This window comes from Homo sapiens, chromosome X, assembly GCF_000001405.40.
Source record: "Homo sapiens chromosome X, GRCh38.p14 Primary Assembly".
In the NCBI taxonomy this organism is placed as follows: Eukaryota; Metazoa; Chordata; class Mammalia; order Primates; family Hominidae; genus Homo; species Homo sapiens.
In genome coordinates, this window is record NC_000023.11 from 130,822,036 (window position 1) to 130,837,751 (window position 15,716).

At 36.8% G+C, this 15,716-nt stretch overlaps 1 protein-coding gene and 1 long non-coding RNA gene across 18 annotated transcripts in view; one reads left to right on the forward strand and one right to left on the reverse strand.

Moving 5' to 3' along the window:
* The window catches only part of ENOX2 (ecto-NOX disulfide-thiol exchanger 2), a 280,885-nt gene that overhangs the window by 199,711 nt on the left and 65,458 nt on the right, over positions 1–15,716 (reverse strand). The window lies entirely within an intron of this gene.
* On the forward strand, positions 5,843–14,188 carry LOC124905217 (uncharacterized). The gene is made up of 2 exons (XR_007068334.1): positions 5,843–6,074; positions 13,815–14,188. It is a non-coding gene; the product is annotated as an uncharacterized LOC124905217 (long non-coding RNA).

Below are 15,716 nucleotides of genomic sequence, written 5' to 3' on the forward strand. Positions count from 1 at the left end.
CCAGCCTGGGTGACAGAGTGAGACTCCGTCTCAAAAAAAAAAAAAAAAAAAAAAAAGAGAGAGAATAAGTAGAACACAGAGGAGAGGAAGTGAAACGAGAGCAGAGCATTTCAGGCCAGACGGACTGCTGGAGCAAAGGCACAAAGTGCACAGAATGCAAAAGTAAATTCAAGGAAAAGTTAATGTTCCTGTAAGGCTTGAATGTACAGATGGTCCTTGACATATGATGGTTTGACTTATGATTTTTCAACTTCACAATAGTGCGAAAGCAACATCGTTCAATAGAAATACTACTTCAAATTTTGAATTTTGATATTTTCCGAGGCTAGCAATATGTGGTACAATACTTTCTTGACATGCCAGGCAGCAGCAAAAAGCCATTCTGTTTTTCACTTTCAATACAGTGTTCAATAAATTGCATAAGATATTCAATAATTTGTAGGGACATGGATGAAGCTGGAAACCATCATTCTCAGCAAACTATCCCAAGGACAAAAAACCAAACACCGCATGTTCTCACTCCTAGGTGGGAACTGAACAATGAGAACACATGGACACAGGAAGGGGAACATCACACACTGGGGACTGTTGTGGGGTAGGGGGAGGGGGAAGGGATAGCATTAGGAGATATACCTAATGCTAAATGATGAGTTAATGGGTGCAGCACACCAACATGGCACATGTATACATATGTAACAAACCTGCACGTTGTGCACATGTACCCTAAAACTTAAAGTATAATAATAATAAAAAAAGAAAAAAAAAGATATTCAATACTTTATTATAAAATGGGTTTTGTGTTAGGTGATTTTGCCCAACTGTAGGCTAATATAAGTGTTCTGAGCACATTTAAAGTAGTAGGCTAGACTAAGCTGTGATGTTTGCTAGATTAGGTATATTAAATGCATTTTTAACTTACAATATTTTCAACTTATAATGTGTTTATTGGGATGTAACCCCATTGTAAGTCAAGGAGCATCTGTAATGTAAAAGGGTGCTGACGGGTAGAGTGACCATGCCTATCCTTTTATTTTACTATGAGACTTGGATGCTAACTGTCTTCTTTCATAGTTTAATCAGCATCACCTGGAAGTCTAACAGAAGAACACCCACACTAAACTCCTCTAACAAAACCAGGCTACTGGCAGATATATAGAGGGGCAGAAAATCTGCAAAATAAAAGATAATCAGGAAAAATAAATGGGACAATGAAAAGTATAGAAATGATTTTTAAAGGATGCTCACCTCAAACACACCTGAGAGAGTGTTGGTGAGTGGCAGCAGACCTTAGGGGATAGGATGGCTGTTTCTGATAAGGATTCGAGCCGAGAATACCAGAAGCACAGTCTTATATGAAAAAAATCTAAAAAAATCTTCTAGTAGTGGCTTTCACTGCAAAATCAGAGCTTTCACATGGAGGCAGCATGCAAAAGACAGCCATTTGCCAATAGAGATCAAAAGTCATGATACAGATCATCTTTAAATGCAAAGGGCAATAATTTATAAGTCAGATGCTGCTGATGTATGCATTTGACCAAGAGTCACATATTTGCCAGCCCACATCCACATATTAGACCTTCTGTTCTTTATTAAAATAATATATTTTTCTGACTTTTTGGAACACAGGTCACCAACTTTGGTGTTACAGAATGGTCTTGGAGCTTCCTCTCCAAATATACTTCACTATCCTCACTCCCTCTTCCCTCTCTGATCTTTTACAACTTATCTTTCTTCTTCATTATTTTTTCTTCTCTTAGCTTATGTCTTCCGAGAGCATCTATGGGAATTATCTGGGGCACTACCAATGACACTCAAGGGTTGAAAGAGACTACAGATGTGTACGAAAAGCCCTCCAAGAGATATTAGTAGAATTCCTTAAAAAATCTGCATGATCTGGAATTGGAAAAATTCTTAATGAACATTTGAAATCATTAGAATACATTTAACTCATTATTTCTCATGCCATAAAACTATTAGAGCTGGAGTGGCCTTAGAGACTATAAAACAATTTCTTCACTTTATATTTGGGAAAAATGAGAAGAGAGGTGAAATTATTTATCCAAGGCAAATAGCTGTTGATAAAGGAACTGACAGATTTCTTAGGAAATGGCTTTTTTCCAGGTTGAAAGAAATATACCGAATTATTTACCTAGCTTCCTTTTTATTGCAGAAAAAAACACAAATAACATGATATCTACCCTCTTAACAAAATTTTAAATGTACAATAGAGTATTGCTAACTACCTGTACATTGTTGTACAGCAGATGTCTAGATCTTTTTCATCTTCCATAACTTTAGTTAGTTTTCTTCAAGGGTCTACTGAAGTTACATTTTTAGTGATAGCAACTCTCGTACATTTGCAGGTAACTTCCAAAGCTTATTTTATGTGAAGTCATATCAATATAATCTGGTGTCTTACTTCAAGTTGCTTCATTTTAATTTAATGAGAAGTATTCCAGGTTGTGTGAGAATGATACTCTCTTTTACACAGTTTTATATTTAAAGAATAGGACCTTGATATATTTTATTCCAGTAAAATTAAAAGGGCTTGTTCAGCAAAGGCAGTAAGTAAAGTTAAAAGACAAGCTGCAGGCTGGGAAAGGATATTTACAAAGCATGAGGGATTAGTATCCTTCAAATCAATAACAAAAAGACTAACAACCAAATAGAATAACGAGCAAATGATATGAATAGGCAATTCTCAGAAAAGGAAACCCACATGGCCAATAAACACATGGAAAGCTAATAAACCTCACTAATAAATGGGAAAATGCACATTAAAACACAGTGAGACATTATTTCATACCTATGAAATTGATGAAATATTTAAGACTGACAATACTGAGGGCTGGAGATGTGGAACCCCCATGAACTATCTGTGGAAGTATAAAGTGGTACAACAACTTTGGAGAACAATTTGGCAATATCTAGTAAAGTTGAAGATGCATACCTTCCGCAACCCAGCAACACCACTTTAAGGTGAAAAATATCTCACACACATGCACAAAATGACATGAAAAAATGATGTGTATAGGAATGCTTTTCGTAATAGTAAAAAATGAGAAGCAATCTGAGACATCCATCAACAAGGAAATTGACAAATACATTAAGAAATAGTCATTCATAAAATGAAATATTCTACAGCTGTTAAAATGAATGGATATGTATAGTAATATAGATAAATCTCAAAAATATAGAGTGAAAAAAGCAAGTTACTTTATGATACATACAGTATTATACAAATTTTACAAACATTTAAACTATGCCAAATACTGTTCCTAAATTCATACATGTGTACAAACACATGGCTGGTAAAGGGCCACACCAACTTCGGGGGGGTACTTCCTCTGGGTATGAAGGGAGGGAAATTTCATTAGGGAAGGGCACAAAGTAAACTTCAACTGGTATATGGTATATCTGTATTCTTAAGTGGCTGGAAACAAATACAGAAAATATTAATGTTTGGTAAATCTGTATGGTGAGTATAACTGTACGGTAGTTCTCCCTTAACTGCAGTTTTGCTTTCCACAGTTTCAGTTATCTGTGGTCAAGCACAGTCTGGAAATATTAAATGGAAAATTCCAGAAATAAACAATTCCTAAGTTTTAAATTGTACACCATTCTGAGTAGCACAATTGAATCTCACTCATTCTACTCCATTTCATCTGAGGCATGGATGATTTACGGCCTCATTCAGAGTAGCCATGCTGTATACACTACCTACCCATTAGTCACTTAGTAGACCTCTCAGTTATCATGTCAATAGATTACAAGAGGAAGAAGGCTGAGTACAATGCATAAGATATTATGAGAGAGAGAAAAAGAGAGAGAGGGAGGAAGAGGAGGACCATATTAATATAACTTATTACAGTATATTGTTATAGTTGTTCTATTTTATTATTGGTTATTGTTGTTAATCTCTTACTGTACCTAATTTATATATTAAGCTTTATCATAGGTAGGTATAGGAAAAAATATAGCATTATATAAGGTTCAGTACCATCCATGGTTTTAGGTTTCCACTGGGAATCTGGGAACATATTCCCTGCAGAAAAAAAGGACTACTGTATACCATGTTTTCTCTATATTTAAAATTTTTCATAATACGATGTTTTATGAAAGAATAGAGAAGTGTGTTTTCTTTACAACTATCAATAGTCACATTCAAAAACTAAAGTTAACCATGTGGTAGACATTATGTCAACTCTGAACCCTGCTTTGTCAGCCATCAACTTACACAGTCCAAACAGACAGAGTTGGGCTTTGGTGCCCTTTTTGTAAATAAATAAATAAAAGTCCCACAAAGAGATAAGCATATGTAATTACACATTATAGTCGTTCACCATATGTATTGTCAAGTGCATACCAGGATCACATTTAAAACCATTCATTTTCTGTGCCTCAGAAGTGCTAGCATCTGCAGACATTAGATCCATATTCAAGCCAGTGAGATGAGTTACCATGGCCCTCTGTTAATTATACACAACATTCTCTACTTTCCTTGTGAAGAGTGCTGTGCTTGGCTTGGGTCCAGACATCAATTTGTGGGGTAAAGTGTTTTTAGGTTTAAGAAAAAACAAGGCAGTGGTTTGTTGCTTTGTAAATGGTGTAGGAAAATTTTTAAAAGTGAACAAGAGATAATTCAAACATATACAACTGAAAGCTTGTTAGTAGCTAGAGCTCAGTGAAGGAAGAAAATCCTAGAAAGTCTGGGAAGGAAATGACTTCAACTAATTTTAGAAAGTGATTTATATGGTCTTAAAATGGTTTAAAAATAAATGGTCATTATTCAAATCACATAGACCAGTGGTTTCTGAGTCTATGTTAATATCAGGAAATTATACTCACTTATTGGGGCTTGGATAGATAAAACAGCCTGTGTGTTGATGGACACAACTCTACTAAATAGAGTAACTAACCCAGCCAAAATGCAGAAACTTGTTAAAAGCATCTAAATTCATGGTCAGTGCAAATACACAATTATCTGCAGTCGGGATAACCAAAATAAACAACACTCAGAACCATAAGAAGGTTCTAAAAAACATTCAAGATTGAGAACTTGACTTTTATGAGTTAGAAAAGTAATCAACGAGCAAAAGCAGTTCATGCTAGGCCAGGGTTTCATCCATTCAGTGTATTCAGGGACAAAGCCAACAATTCACAAGGTCTGAAAAGCCATGCAGTTTCTCCAAGTTTAGGCAGAGGCACAGCTACCTGTAAATGGGTTGATATCTAAGTGTAGATAGATATACACACCAAATTACTGCACAACTTTGCAGTGATTCTGCCCCCTCTGACTGGAATGCTCTTCCCCACTTCTCTTTGCTAGGTTGCAATTACTCATTCTCTAAAAGCCTCAGCATGAACATTACTTCTGTGGGAAGCATTTCTACCTTTTCTACCCTCTACATCTAAGGTTCTGCTAGGTACTCTACTATGCTCTGACAATCCCCCATTACAGTACTTAAACTTTTTAAAGAGTCTGTTGTCTTCCTTATTTGGCCATAAGCTCATGAGCCAAGAGTCATTCCTGTCTTGATTATTATATTTTTCCCCCAGCATATTACAGTATCTGGCATATAGTAGAACTTAATAAATATCTGTTGACTATATTAATGAATAAATAAATAGATACATAGCCAGATAAAAGTATATTAATGTCCATCCAATTCTACACAGTTCAAAGTAACCATTTTTTAAAAGCCAATGAGGAAAAAAAGTATGTTTGAAAACATGAGGATTTATGTGTGCATGTCTCTTTAAGTTTGATGATGATGGTGAAGTGTGCATGTGTTTATGGGTAAGGGAGGGGCTTTCTAAATACACAAATACTGGTATACATAAATAATTCCTGAAGAGTCATAATTCCTCGGATTTATGTATTTATGCTCAAACTGTTTCCATCCATGTTTCATTTATTCTTACAACCTCCAAGCAAAAGAGATAAGGACAGATATTATCATTGTCATTTTTCCGAAGAGGAAATGGATTGAGAAGTGATGTGAACCTGCTCAACTGCAAATGGTATCCCAATATCCGAGTTGATGCTCCAGCCACTAGAACGGTGTAACCTGGTAAGATCACAATTATTACCACAATCTTTTTAGAGCAAGAAAAATAGATATGAGCAAATATCTGAGGCAGAAAGCAAGCCCATAATTCATACTAACTAATCTGCTTTGTGGTCTCTAGTAAAGGTAATTTAGCTTCTGGGTTCAAATTACTTAACTAGCACATACAAGGGGAAATTAGGGGTACAATACAAGTTTACTTTCCGTTTTCAGTTGATAAAACTTTGCATTAATATTAGTCAGTCAGCTTAACAGAAGAAATTAACAGGCTAATAAGATGAAATACATTTAACAAGAAAGACTAAGATTTTAGCTAGGATAATTAAATCTAATATTTTTCTTAAATGAAATTGATAGGAAAACAAAAACTTCTGGTCTAATTTATGTTTGTAATTAATACCATACGGAAAGTAACATTGGGATTAAAACATCTATATTCATTGAGCTCTTTTTTAGCCCTATATGATCCATTTTGATTGTTACACAAAATCATTTAAATGAGGGGCTCTCCCCCATATTTCCTTTCTGTAAAATAAAATAATAATCAATACAACTCAGTAGGAAGTTTTCAAATCCAGGAAGCAAAATAGGTGCTGCTCCCAAAGGAGTTCTGAGGGTCAGTTATAAATGAAATTATATTACATTTTTCAGCCTCATATGATGCCTTTTCATCAAGGAGCTCAAAGATTTCCCAGGAATGGCCAACGTCCTGGGATCAGTAGAATTAAGCCGTGAATGGCGTCTTTGTCTAGAAGTGAAAGGCAATGGTGACCTTCCTAGACTGAGAACTGAGTAGATCAGCCTTATGATTGTCTCTGGTTCTATTAACCCACTATCACTGGCATGGCATTCAACTCAAAAGGAAGATTTCACTGTTAAAAGTAATCTATGTGTTTTTAGTGTTTATTGTAACATATAACAAATGTGCACTTCTTTATTTAGCCCTTCTAGCCTCACCCCATCTTCAATGTACTGGCTGATCCTGCTCCTACTTTCAGATCTTTCTCTCTGATGGGCTACTTGTTGCTCTTCGGTGCTCCATGAGAATAAGAAGCAATAAGAACAAAAGTCACCTATTCCTCAATAGCTGGCATAAGAAGTCATATATTAGGGCAGGATACTATAACAGCAATAACTGCTGTTATTAAATGCCCATTACATGCCAAGCCCTATATGGTCAGGTATTTTACATGCACTATCTCATTTAATTTTATCCACAAACTATCAGATAAATATTACTGCTTACTTATTTTGTAGAAGGGGAATTTGAATATCAACTGGCTAATTTATTTACCCTAGGTCTCACAGCTAAGTAAATGGCAGACTCAGGATTCAAACCAAGGTTCGTCTGGTTCCAAAATACATTTTCTATGCCACACTATCACCCTGAAGCAAAATGAGGTGCTCTAAATAGGGTGTTAGGGGTATGCATGCCTGTAAGCATAAGGAATTCCAAACTTTCAGACATTTTCTGGCCCAAGAAATGATACAGAACTTTGGGTAACAATAATGGCTAACATTTTTTGAGGGTACAGTACATGCCAGAAACTGTTCTAGGAGCTTTACACACATTGACTCATTCAATCCTTACAATAACCCTCTTAAGGTATATGCTACTATGACGCCCATGGCAATGATGAAGCAACTCTGGCATTAAAAGGTGAAATGACTTACTCAAGATTGCACAGCTTAGAACTGGTGGAGCTAGAATTCAAATTTCAGCAGTCTGGCTTCAGAGTCTACATATTTAACAAAAACATTTTATTAATGAGAAATTGGTTGAGATCAAGAATTGTCACAAGAGGAAAAAGAAAATAATCACAGAGTTTTAGAGTTAAGAAGAACCTTAAAGATTATTTAGTCCAATCTTCTTATGTTCCTAATGAGAAAAGAGAGGCAGAGCAATATTAAGCAACTTGCCTAAGGTCACATGGCTTGTAATTAGCTGAGCTTGCATCACAGCCCAGGCCTTCTGACCCCTAGTCATGTGCTCATTCTATTATATCATATTATATTCTCCCTGATGCACTCATGTAACAAAATGTGAGTTGAATTCAATTAAATTGCCTTTCTGGACCTGCACCTGAGCTACTAAACTTGAATGGGGAAAAATGCACATAGCTGAGCAAATGGGCTTCACGTTCATTTAAAGCATTCATGATCACAAGCCTCAACTGAGCACTCATCTCTGCTCAACAATGCTACTTCTGTATTAAACTTGCTTTCCCACTCTTTAAAGTGACAATATCTTCATTGTTATCTTCAATCCTCCTATATTTTCCCCCACTCCACTCCACTTCCTGCCATTAACTAATGATATGCCTCATACTTCATGGAGAAGAAAAAGGTATCAGAAGAAGTAGCTCTTTCATCTTCCTACCACCAAATCTGCAAACCTGTCTATGTCTCTATCTATATTCTGTGTTGTTAAAATGGAACAAGTGTCGCTAAATCCCATCCTTTCTTGCTGCTTAGACTGCAGATGTTCCTCTTTCTTCTTCTGCATCATCATTTCTGTCTTTCTACTGGAAGTTGGCCTTGGCTCCTACTCTTTCAACATTCCATATATTCCAACCATCGGTTAAATCTTATCTTTTGATTATAATTCTAAAATACATCTTGAATCTGTACATTTTTCATCACCATTGCTAACATCATCCAAGTCACCATGTTCTCTTATCTAGGCTCCTGCAGTAAGTAAATAGCCTCCTAACTGGCTGTGTCATGCTTCCACTCTTGCCCATCTTTAACTCATTCTCTGCTGAGCAGCTATCTCTAGTACATTTTCTGTTGCTATACCAGAATAACACAAACTGGGTAATTTATAAAGAAAAGAAGTTTATTTGGCCTATGGTTCTGAAGGCTGGGAAGACCAATATTAAGGGGCTACATCTGGCAAGGGCCTTCATGCTACATCATAACACGGCTGAAGGGCAGAAGGGCAAGCAAGCACACAAAACAGAGGGAATGGGGGCCAAACTTCTATCTTTTTATCAGAAGTCCACTCCTGCAATAACTAATCCAGTCCTGTGGCACTAACTCATTCATGAGGACAGAGCCCTCATGACCTAATCATCTCTTACGGGTACCATTTCCCAATACTGTTAACATTGGCAATGACCTAATCATCTCTTACAGGTCCCATCTCCCAATACTGTTAACATTGGCAATTAAATTTTAACATGAGTTTTGGAGGAGACATTCAAACCACGGTTGCAGTCAAAGTAGTCTTTTAAAAAGTGTAAAACAATTCATTATCACTCCTGTGCTTAAAATCTTTCTATGGATTCTCACTGCTCTTAGAATAAAAATCCAAACTTGTTTGGACCTATAAGCCCAGTATGATGTTTACCTCTCCCAACTTCATCTCATGCTACATTCCCTCTCATTCAACTATACTGGCCTTCCCTGTGTTCCCGCAATACAACCACTCATCTCTTGCCTCAGAGACCTGTGCTTGCTGTTCCTCAGGCTCTTTGCATGACAGGTACTTCCTCAATTATCAGGTCTCAGCCTAAAATTCACTTTCTCATAGAAACCTTTTTTCCATGATATCAAAGTAGGTCCTCTCATATTTTTACTCATCCATAGCTATCTTAGCACTTCCTATAGTTGATAAGTATTTTATGCATATATTTATGTATTTCCATGTTTATTTGTCTGTTGTAAAGCTCAATGAGGGCAGCGACCTTTGTATATATTTTTTCACTGTTGTTTTTACAATATCTAGCAGAGTATCTAGTACCAAAAAGGTGCTCAATAAATTTTTGCTGAACTAAAAAGTTAATTCCTGGATTGCTCTGAATAATATCTGGGACAATGCTATTTAATAAGGATACTCTAAGTAGGGGAAAATAATTCTTACTTCTTTAGGAAAAGAATCTGGTTGCTTTCATGATCCCAAACCTTTTGCCAACCTTTAATCAGCAGGTTCTAATCTTTTTGTGGTGATCTCTGTCTGAATTAAAAAAAAAAATCTACAAAATTAAACCAGATGAGGGACAGGACCCTGAAGGTGACAGCCGTTTAATGCTCTCTTTGTCAAATATGCTCCGTCTCACTATACATGCTTGGACAGAAAGAGAGACACATTTTACTTGGTTATTTTTTTCCTCAAGCCATTTATTCCTCTGCTAAGTAGTTTATCGATTCTTCAACATCAATTTAGAGCTGGAGCTTACAGCACTCCCATCAGAAATCTTACAGTGCTCAAAATAAATGACTTGCCCAAAGAATACCATGTCAGTTGTTAAAGAAGTAACTCTGGAAACAAATACACCTAAAGGCAGATACTAAATATAGATATTCCCTTACACACACACACACACACACATACACACACACACACACACACACACACACACCCCACTTGGGAACTGACTTTTCTAAGAACAAAAAGCAAAAATAAAACAGAAAAAAATCTATAACATATGAAAAGTTCAGTAGTATGGCAGTCTAATACAAAAAATGTTAAAATTCACTATAGCCTACCACCTCCCACTGATGTTCCATAATGGTTATTTTAGACAGGAAGCACAAGGTTGCCAAATGTTCTTGTTCTAAATTTCCTGTACTAGTTTCACATCCTACACATCTAGCCCTAGTATTAAAAATACTGTCCATGATATTTTACTTCCTGGCTTTGAGAGCAGGGGTCTCCTAGGCCTGTCTATAAACCTTTAGGGACTCAAATTCCAACTTTCATCCTGTAGAAAGCATATCTGCCTTCACACACCACCCCCTTTTAGCAAAATGTTGGTTATGCTCAAATGCTTTGGGATTAGGTGTGAGGAAATCTTGAATTACATACCTAAATATAACTCCCTAACTGGTGGGCCAGATAAACATAAGAAAGACACATATGTTTTAATAACGTCATCTGAAGTATAAGTATTCATGTATAATCACACACACACACACACACACACACACACACACACACACACACAAACAGCACTGAATTTTCTTTTCACCCTAGAATGAAAGCAGGTACTAAACTTTCTTGAGTCTTAGCATTGCACATTTAAAATAACTGCTTTACATGTTGATTTGGAGTTGCAACTCATCTGAGATACGGAGGGGATTTTCCAAAGTGCACTGGAATCTGGGCACACATGAAATTGCAATTACTTTCCATTCCTTTTCTTCAATTTCCCCATAATTGCTCTTCCTGATATATCTCTATCTTCTTTGGGGGACTATGGAAAGGGGACCAACAAAACAGGTAGTCTTTCAAACTGTGAGACCAGACAGGGTCGTTTCATTCAATAAATATTTATTGAGTACTTGCTAGGTGCCAGGCACTGTTCTAGGAGCTGGCATGACGAGCCCACACAGAGGTTACACAGGTTCAAATTAGCTTAAGAGAGTAACAAGGGGGGAAGAATTTCTGATGTGTGAGGCTGTTTTTTTGAATCAAGCAATGGAACAGCAACTGCCATAGGCTGTCAGTAGCAGGTGAAATGTCAAATAGGGAGTCTTGTCTTTGGGGATGCCTGACTTTAGCTTCCCTTCTAATGCCAGCATAGTACATCTAAGGATTCAGGGAAAGGATATCCGAAAAATGAAGGCGATTTTGCTGCCAACTAAGATGAATGGAACACTTTCTAAAGGCAGCCCTCAAACCATTCTTGCCCTGAGCCAGGTTTCCACTGTTACTTTGATTTACATCTTGGGTTTAAGGTCCTTCTTTACCTTTTACTCCTCATCACTCCAAAGCAGCAATTAGAGGCAGTTCAGGGAAACAAATTAACTTTATTTTATAGGAGGAAACCTCATAGTAAACTTCTATCATTCACTAATTCAACAAATGTTCACTGAGCACCTACTATGGCCAGAAATTGCTCTTGGTGCTGGAGATATATATATTAGTATCAGTAAACAAACAGACAATAAGCCCTCATCTCATGGAGCTTACATTTTAAATGGGGGTTGCTAAGTTACAGGCAATTTTGTAATAACCACATTACTTAGTACTAGTTTAAGTGATAAAACAATCCCTTCTTGTTCCTCCATTCTCTAACTTCCACTATAGAGCCCAACCTTTCAGCCCATGTCTTCTTGTTGCTTTTGAAGTTTCTATACTACTCCTAGACATAACCTTTATATTCTCTTTCAACTGACTCTGCCTCCTCTCAGGTACTCAGGCACATCCCCTTTAGTTGGGATTAGCCCTAATGAATGGCACTCTCCTTACAATGGAACTCCATCTCTTTCAGATCCTGTTGACAGCAATTTGACTGAAATCCCCAGGGCACTGGGCTCCGGTTTCTGGTCTTGGGCATTTACAAATTCTTGTTTTTCTTAACTGCTCTTTAACCTTTACTTCCTGCTTACTTTGTTCCTCTTTTTTTTCCCCTGATAAACATTTTTCAACCATGTTGAGAAAGGAGGATAGCTGGGAATATAACAAAGCAGGATCCAATTTAAAGAAATCTATTTGTCTTTTTTTTTTTTAATCTCGATTGTCAAAGATGATTTGAAAAAGAAAGCTTCTGGGACCAGGTACCGTGTCTTCATAAAACTCTGATCTCATATATACATTGTTGCTTCCTGCAGAATTTCTGCAAGCTGTTCTTTAAAATAATTATGCTGTGTGTTTCTGGGTTCTTATGGGATTTTAACATTTTGAAACTGCAGGGGCAAACAGGAAAATCTTCAAATGTGATTACTTGGTAGTCAAATAAAATGTTATAAGAAATTTCTCCATTTTTCACACCCTCCAATTTTTCCACCCCATCTGAAATAGAAAACAAGTTGAAAATACATCAGTCCAAAGGGTAATTTTATGAAAAAGATAAGCACCTAGGAACAGAGGCTTATAATGAAAGTGTCTCCTCCACCATAGAGAAACACTAATATAATTCAATATAGTTTATAAAACCATCCCTGCCAATCAAAATATAGAAAAGACAATTTCCTGTTTGTGGAAATAGATGTGATACTAAACAGAACCAAATCAGGCTGCAATTAACTTAGAAAAAAAACAGATACACTAGACTCAGTCTAGCTAGAAGAATGTTGCATTACAACACATTTGCATGCTAGCTTAATAAAATTAAGATTTCCAAGGGAATTCTCATCCTGGGGAGGGGAGGCGGTGGGGGGTGGAACTGAATGAGCTATATAGAAAAAAGTTAAATAGTAAAAATAGCTATCATTCACAGAGAGTTTACTATGCACAAGGCAGTTTACAAAGTACTTTACATGCATTTTCTTATTTCATTCTCATAATTTTAACAGGTGAGTGAGTACTCTTATTGTCTCAGTTTTACAGATGAGGCAACTGAGGCTCAGAGATTAAGTTAGATGTATACATTCACACCAGTATTAAGGGGTAGAATTCAGATCTATGTCTGCTCTTAACTGCTAGGTTATGTTGCCACCAATAGAATACATAACATACATATCTGTCTATTTAATATTTATTTACATGTAATATGTATGTATATTATGATAGGTAAATTCTACACGAATTAGCTAGGCAGAAAGCAGCATAACATATTAGAAAAAAACACTTGATTAGGAGTCCCGAGGCCTGGGTTTGTACTCTAGGCTCTGACACTAACTAGTTTGTATGGCTTCAGGTGAGTAATTTAACACCTCTGTGCCTCAGTTTCCCCATCTATAAAACAAGAATATCAAGCAGAAGCTTCCATAACATCCCCTTTAGCTCTACCATTCTATTACTCTACTGAAATAAGTTATGTCACATAAATTACCATGAATGTTTTGCCTTTGCAGATAACTTACACCGAAAGCAACTCAAGGAATAAATTCTGCTAAAAAGCACACCCTTGACACAGCAGATCTGCTAGAAAGAGGGAGATGATTTCAAAAGGAGAAACTTCCTGTGATAGCAAATGGAGCTGCCAGCGTAGTCTTTGAACTCTCCTTCACCATCAGCCAACGAAAGACTTCAGTTATTCTTCACTAAAAATGACAGTCTGCAAGTATTTTGGACCTCCAGGTCGAGGCTAAGTTGGCAAGAACTAAATGGAGAGAAAACCATTTTACAGGGTCACTGCTAAATCCAGAATCACGGGATTTCTGAAGAAACTGTATATGGGTGACTAAATCAAAGGCTTCTGTTAGGTCAATAAAAATGTTTCTAATAATAAAAGTCTCAGACTTTGTTTCTGAAATATCACTGGTGCTTTAAGTTGAATTGAGAGAAAGGCTAGATATGAAACATAACTAGACCACTGTTAGAGAATTCCCTTCTCTAGGGACTGAGCATCTGGGAAAAATGTCACGTAACCTTAGCAAGACACATGGAATCACAATCAATGTAGGCAGACTCTGATTTTTGATCCTTTGTACAATGCACAATACCAAATTGATCAGTGAGTCTCCAGAAAAAAAAAAATGAGCACATTCAAAGACTCGACTGGCCTTCTACAGGGGGTTTTCAGCAGTCTGAGGAGCAACTGATTGAAGAGTCTTAAGCTTTTATGTTTGTATTTCTCCAGAGCAGTTCTTGGCTAGCTTCTCTCTGCTCTGCTGCCTTCCCAGGTGACTAACAGCTGTTATCTCTGACCCAGGAAGTAGTGATAAGCTACGTTCCTAGCTGCCTTTCCAAAGCTCTCAAGAGTGGGTAAAAGAGGTTACTGATAGTGTCTTCTCACTTTTACTACTGACAGTGATGGAATTCCTAGAGAGCTAATTTTTCTCATGAAATATTTTATTTTATAAAGGTAGCCAAAGAAAGGCAAAGAAAGGCTGGGGGAGAGGAAGAGAGTAAGCTATTTAGCTTTATCTGTGGGTTATTTTCCTCATGGCATAGTACTTTGTGTTTTTAAATTCAATGAAACCTTTTATCCTCTAGGTGAGCATTTTATATGAACCCACAGATGGCTTTTTTAGTTGGCCAATATTAGAAATACAAAGGTGTCTGAATGAATAGATAACTGACATTATCACAGGGTTGGAAAGGGAAGAAGCATATGGCAGGTTGATACTAGGAATTATTAAGATAAAATTGAAAGTGTTGGAATTTGAAAGTGGGTACTAAATTCATTTGGATTACAAATTATTACAATGAGAAACCAGAACCTTACAGACTAATCAATTTTCATTAATGGATTTCTTTTGACCTTGTCCAGTGGTTTCTAAATTGGTTCTTGCAACAGACCCTTGGAATGGCTTCTCTCCATTTGGTGGCCCAGTGCATTAACTTATACTTCTCCTGTGCCAACAGCTCATCTACAGTAACAGAAGTGAAGCCTTTCTACTATGAGCTCTGAGTACCCAACTAAGTCCACAAATGGACTAGAAAGGTCATAGCTGCTCACTAACCAGTAGACATGTCAAATCAGATTTGTATAATTTTAGAGTTGAAATGGTCCTTTGAGGTTATCTTACTTTTAACCTTGATCCCAGTAAAAGAATCTCATTCACAGCATGCCTAACAGTGGCATCTAGACATACTTAAACATGTTCAGGACTGGAAAAGTCCTTGCTTCATAAGAACACCCATTCCACCGCCAGACAGTTTGAATAGAAAGGTTTTCCCCTATATGCTAGGCGAAAATCTGAATTCCTATGGCTACCTGGGTTCATATCCAGGTTCCCTCATTTATATGATCTTGGGTAGATCACTTAATCTCTGTGTTTCAGTTTCTTTATATGTAAAAATGGAGATAA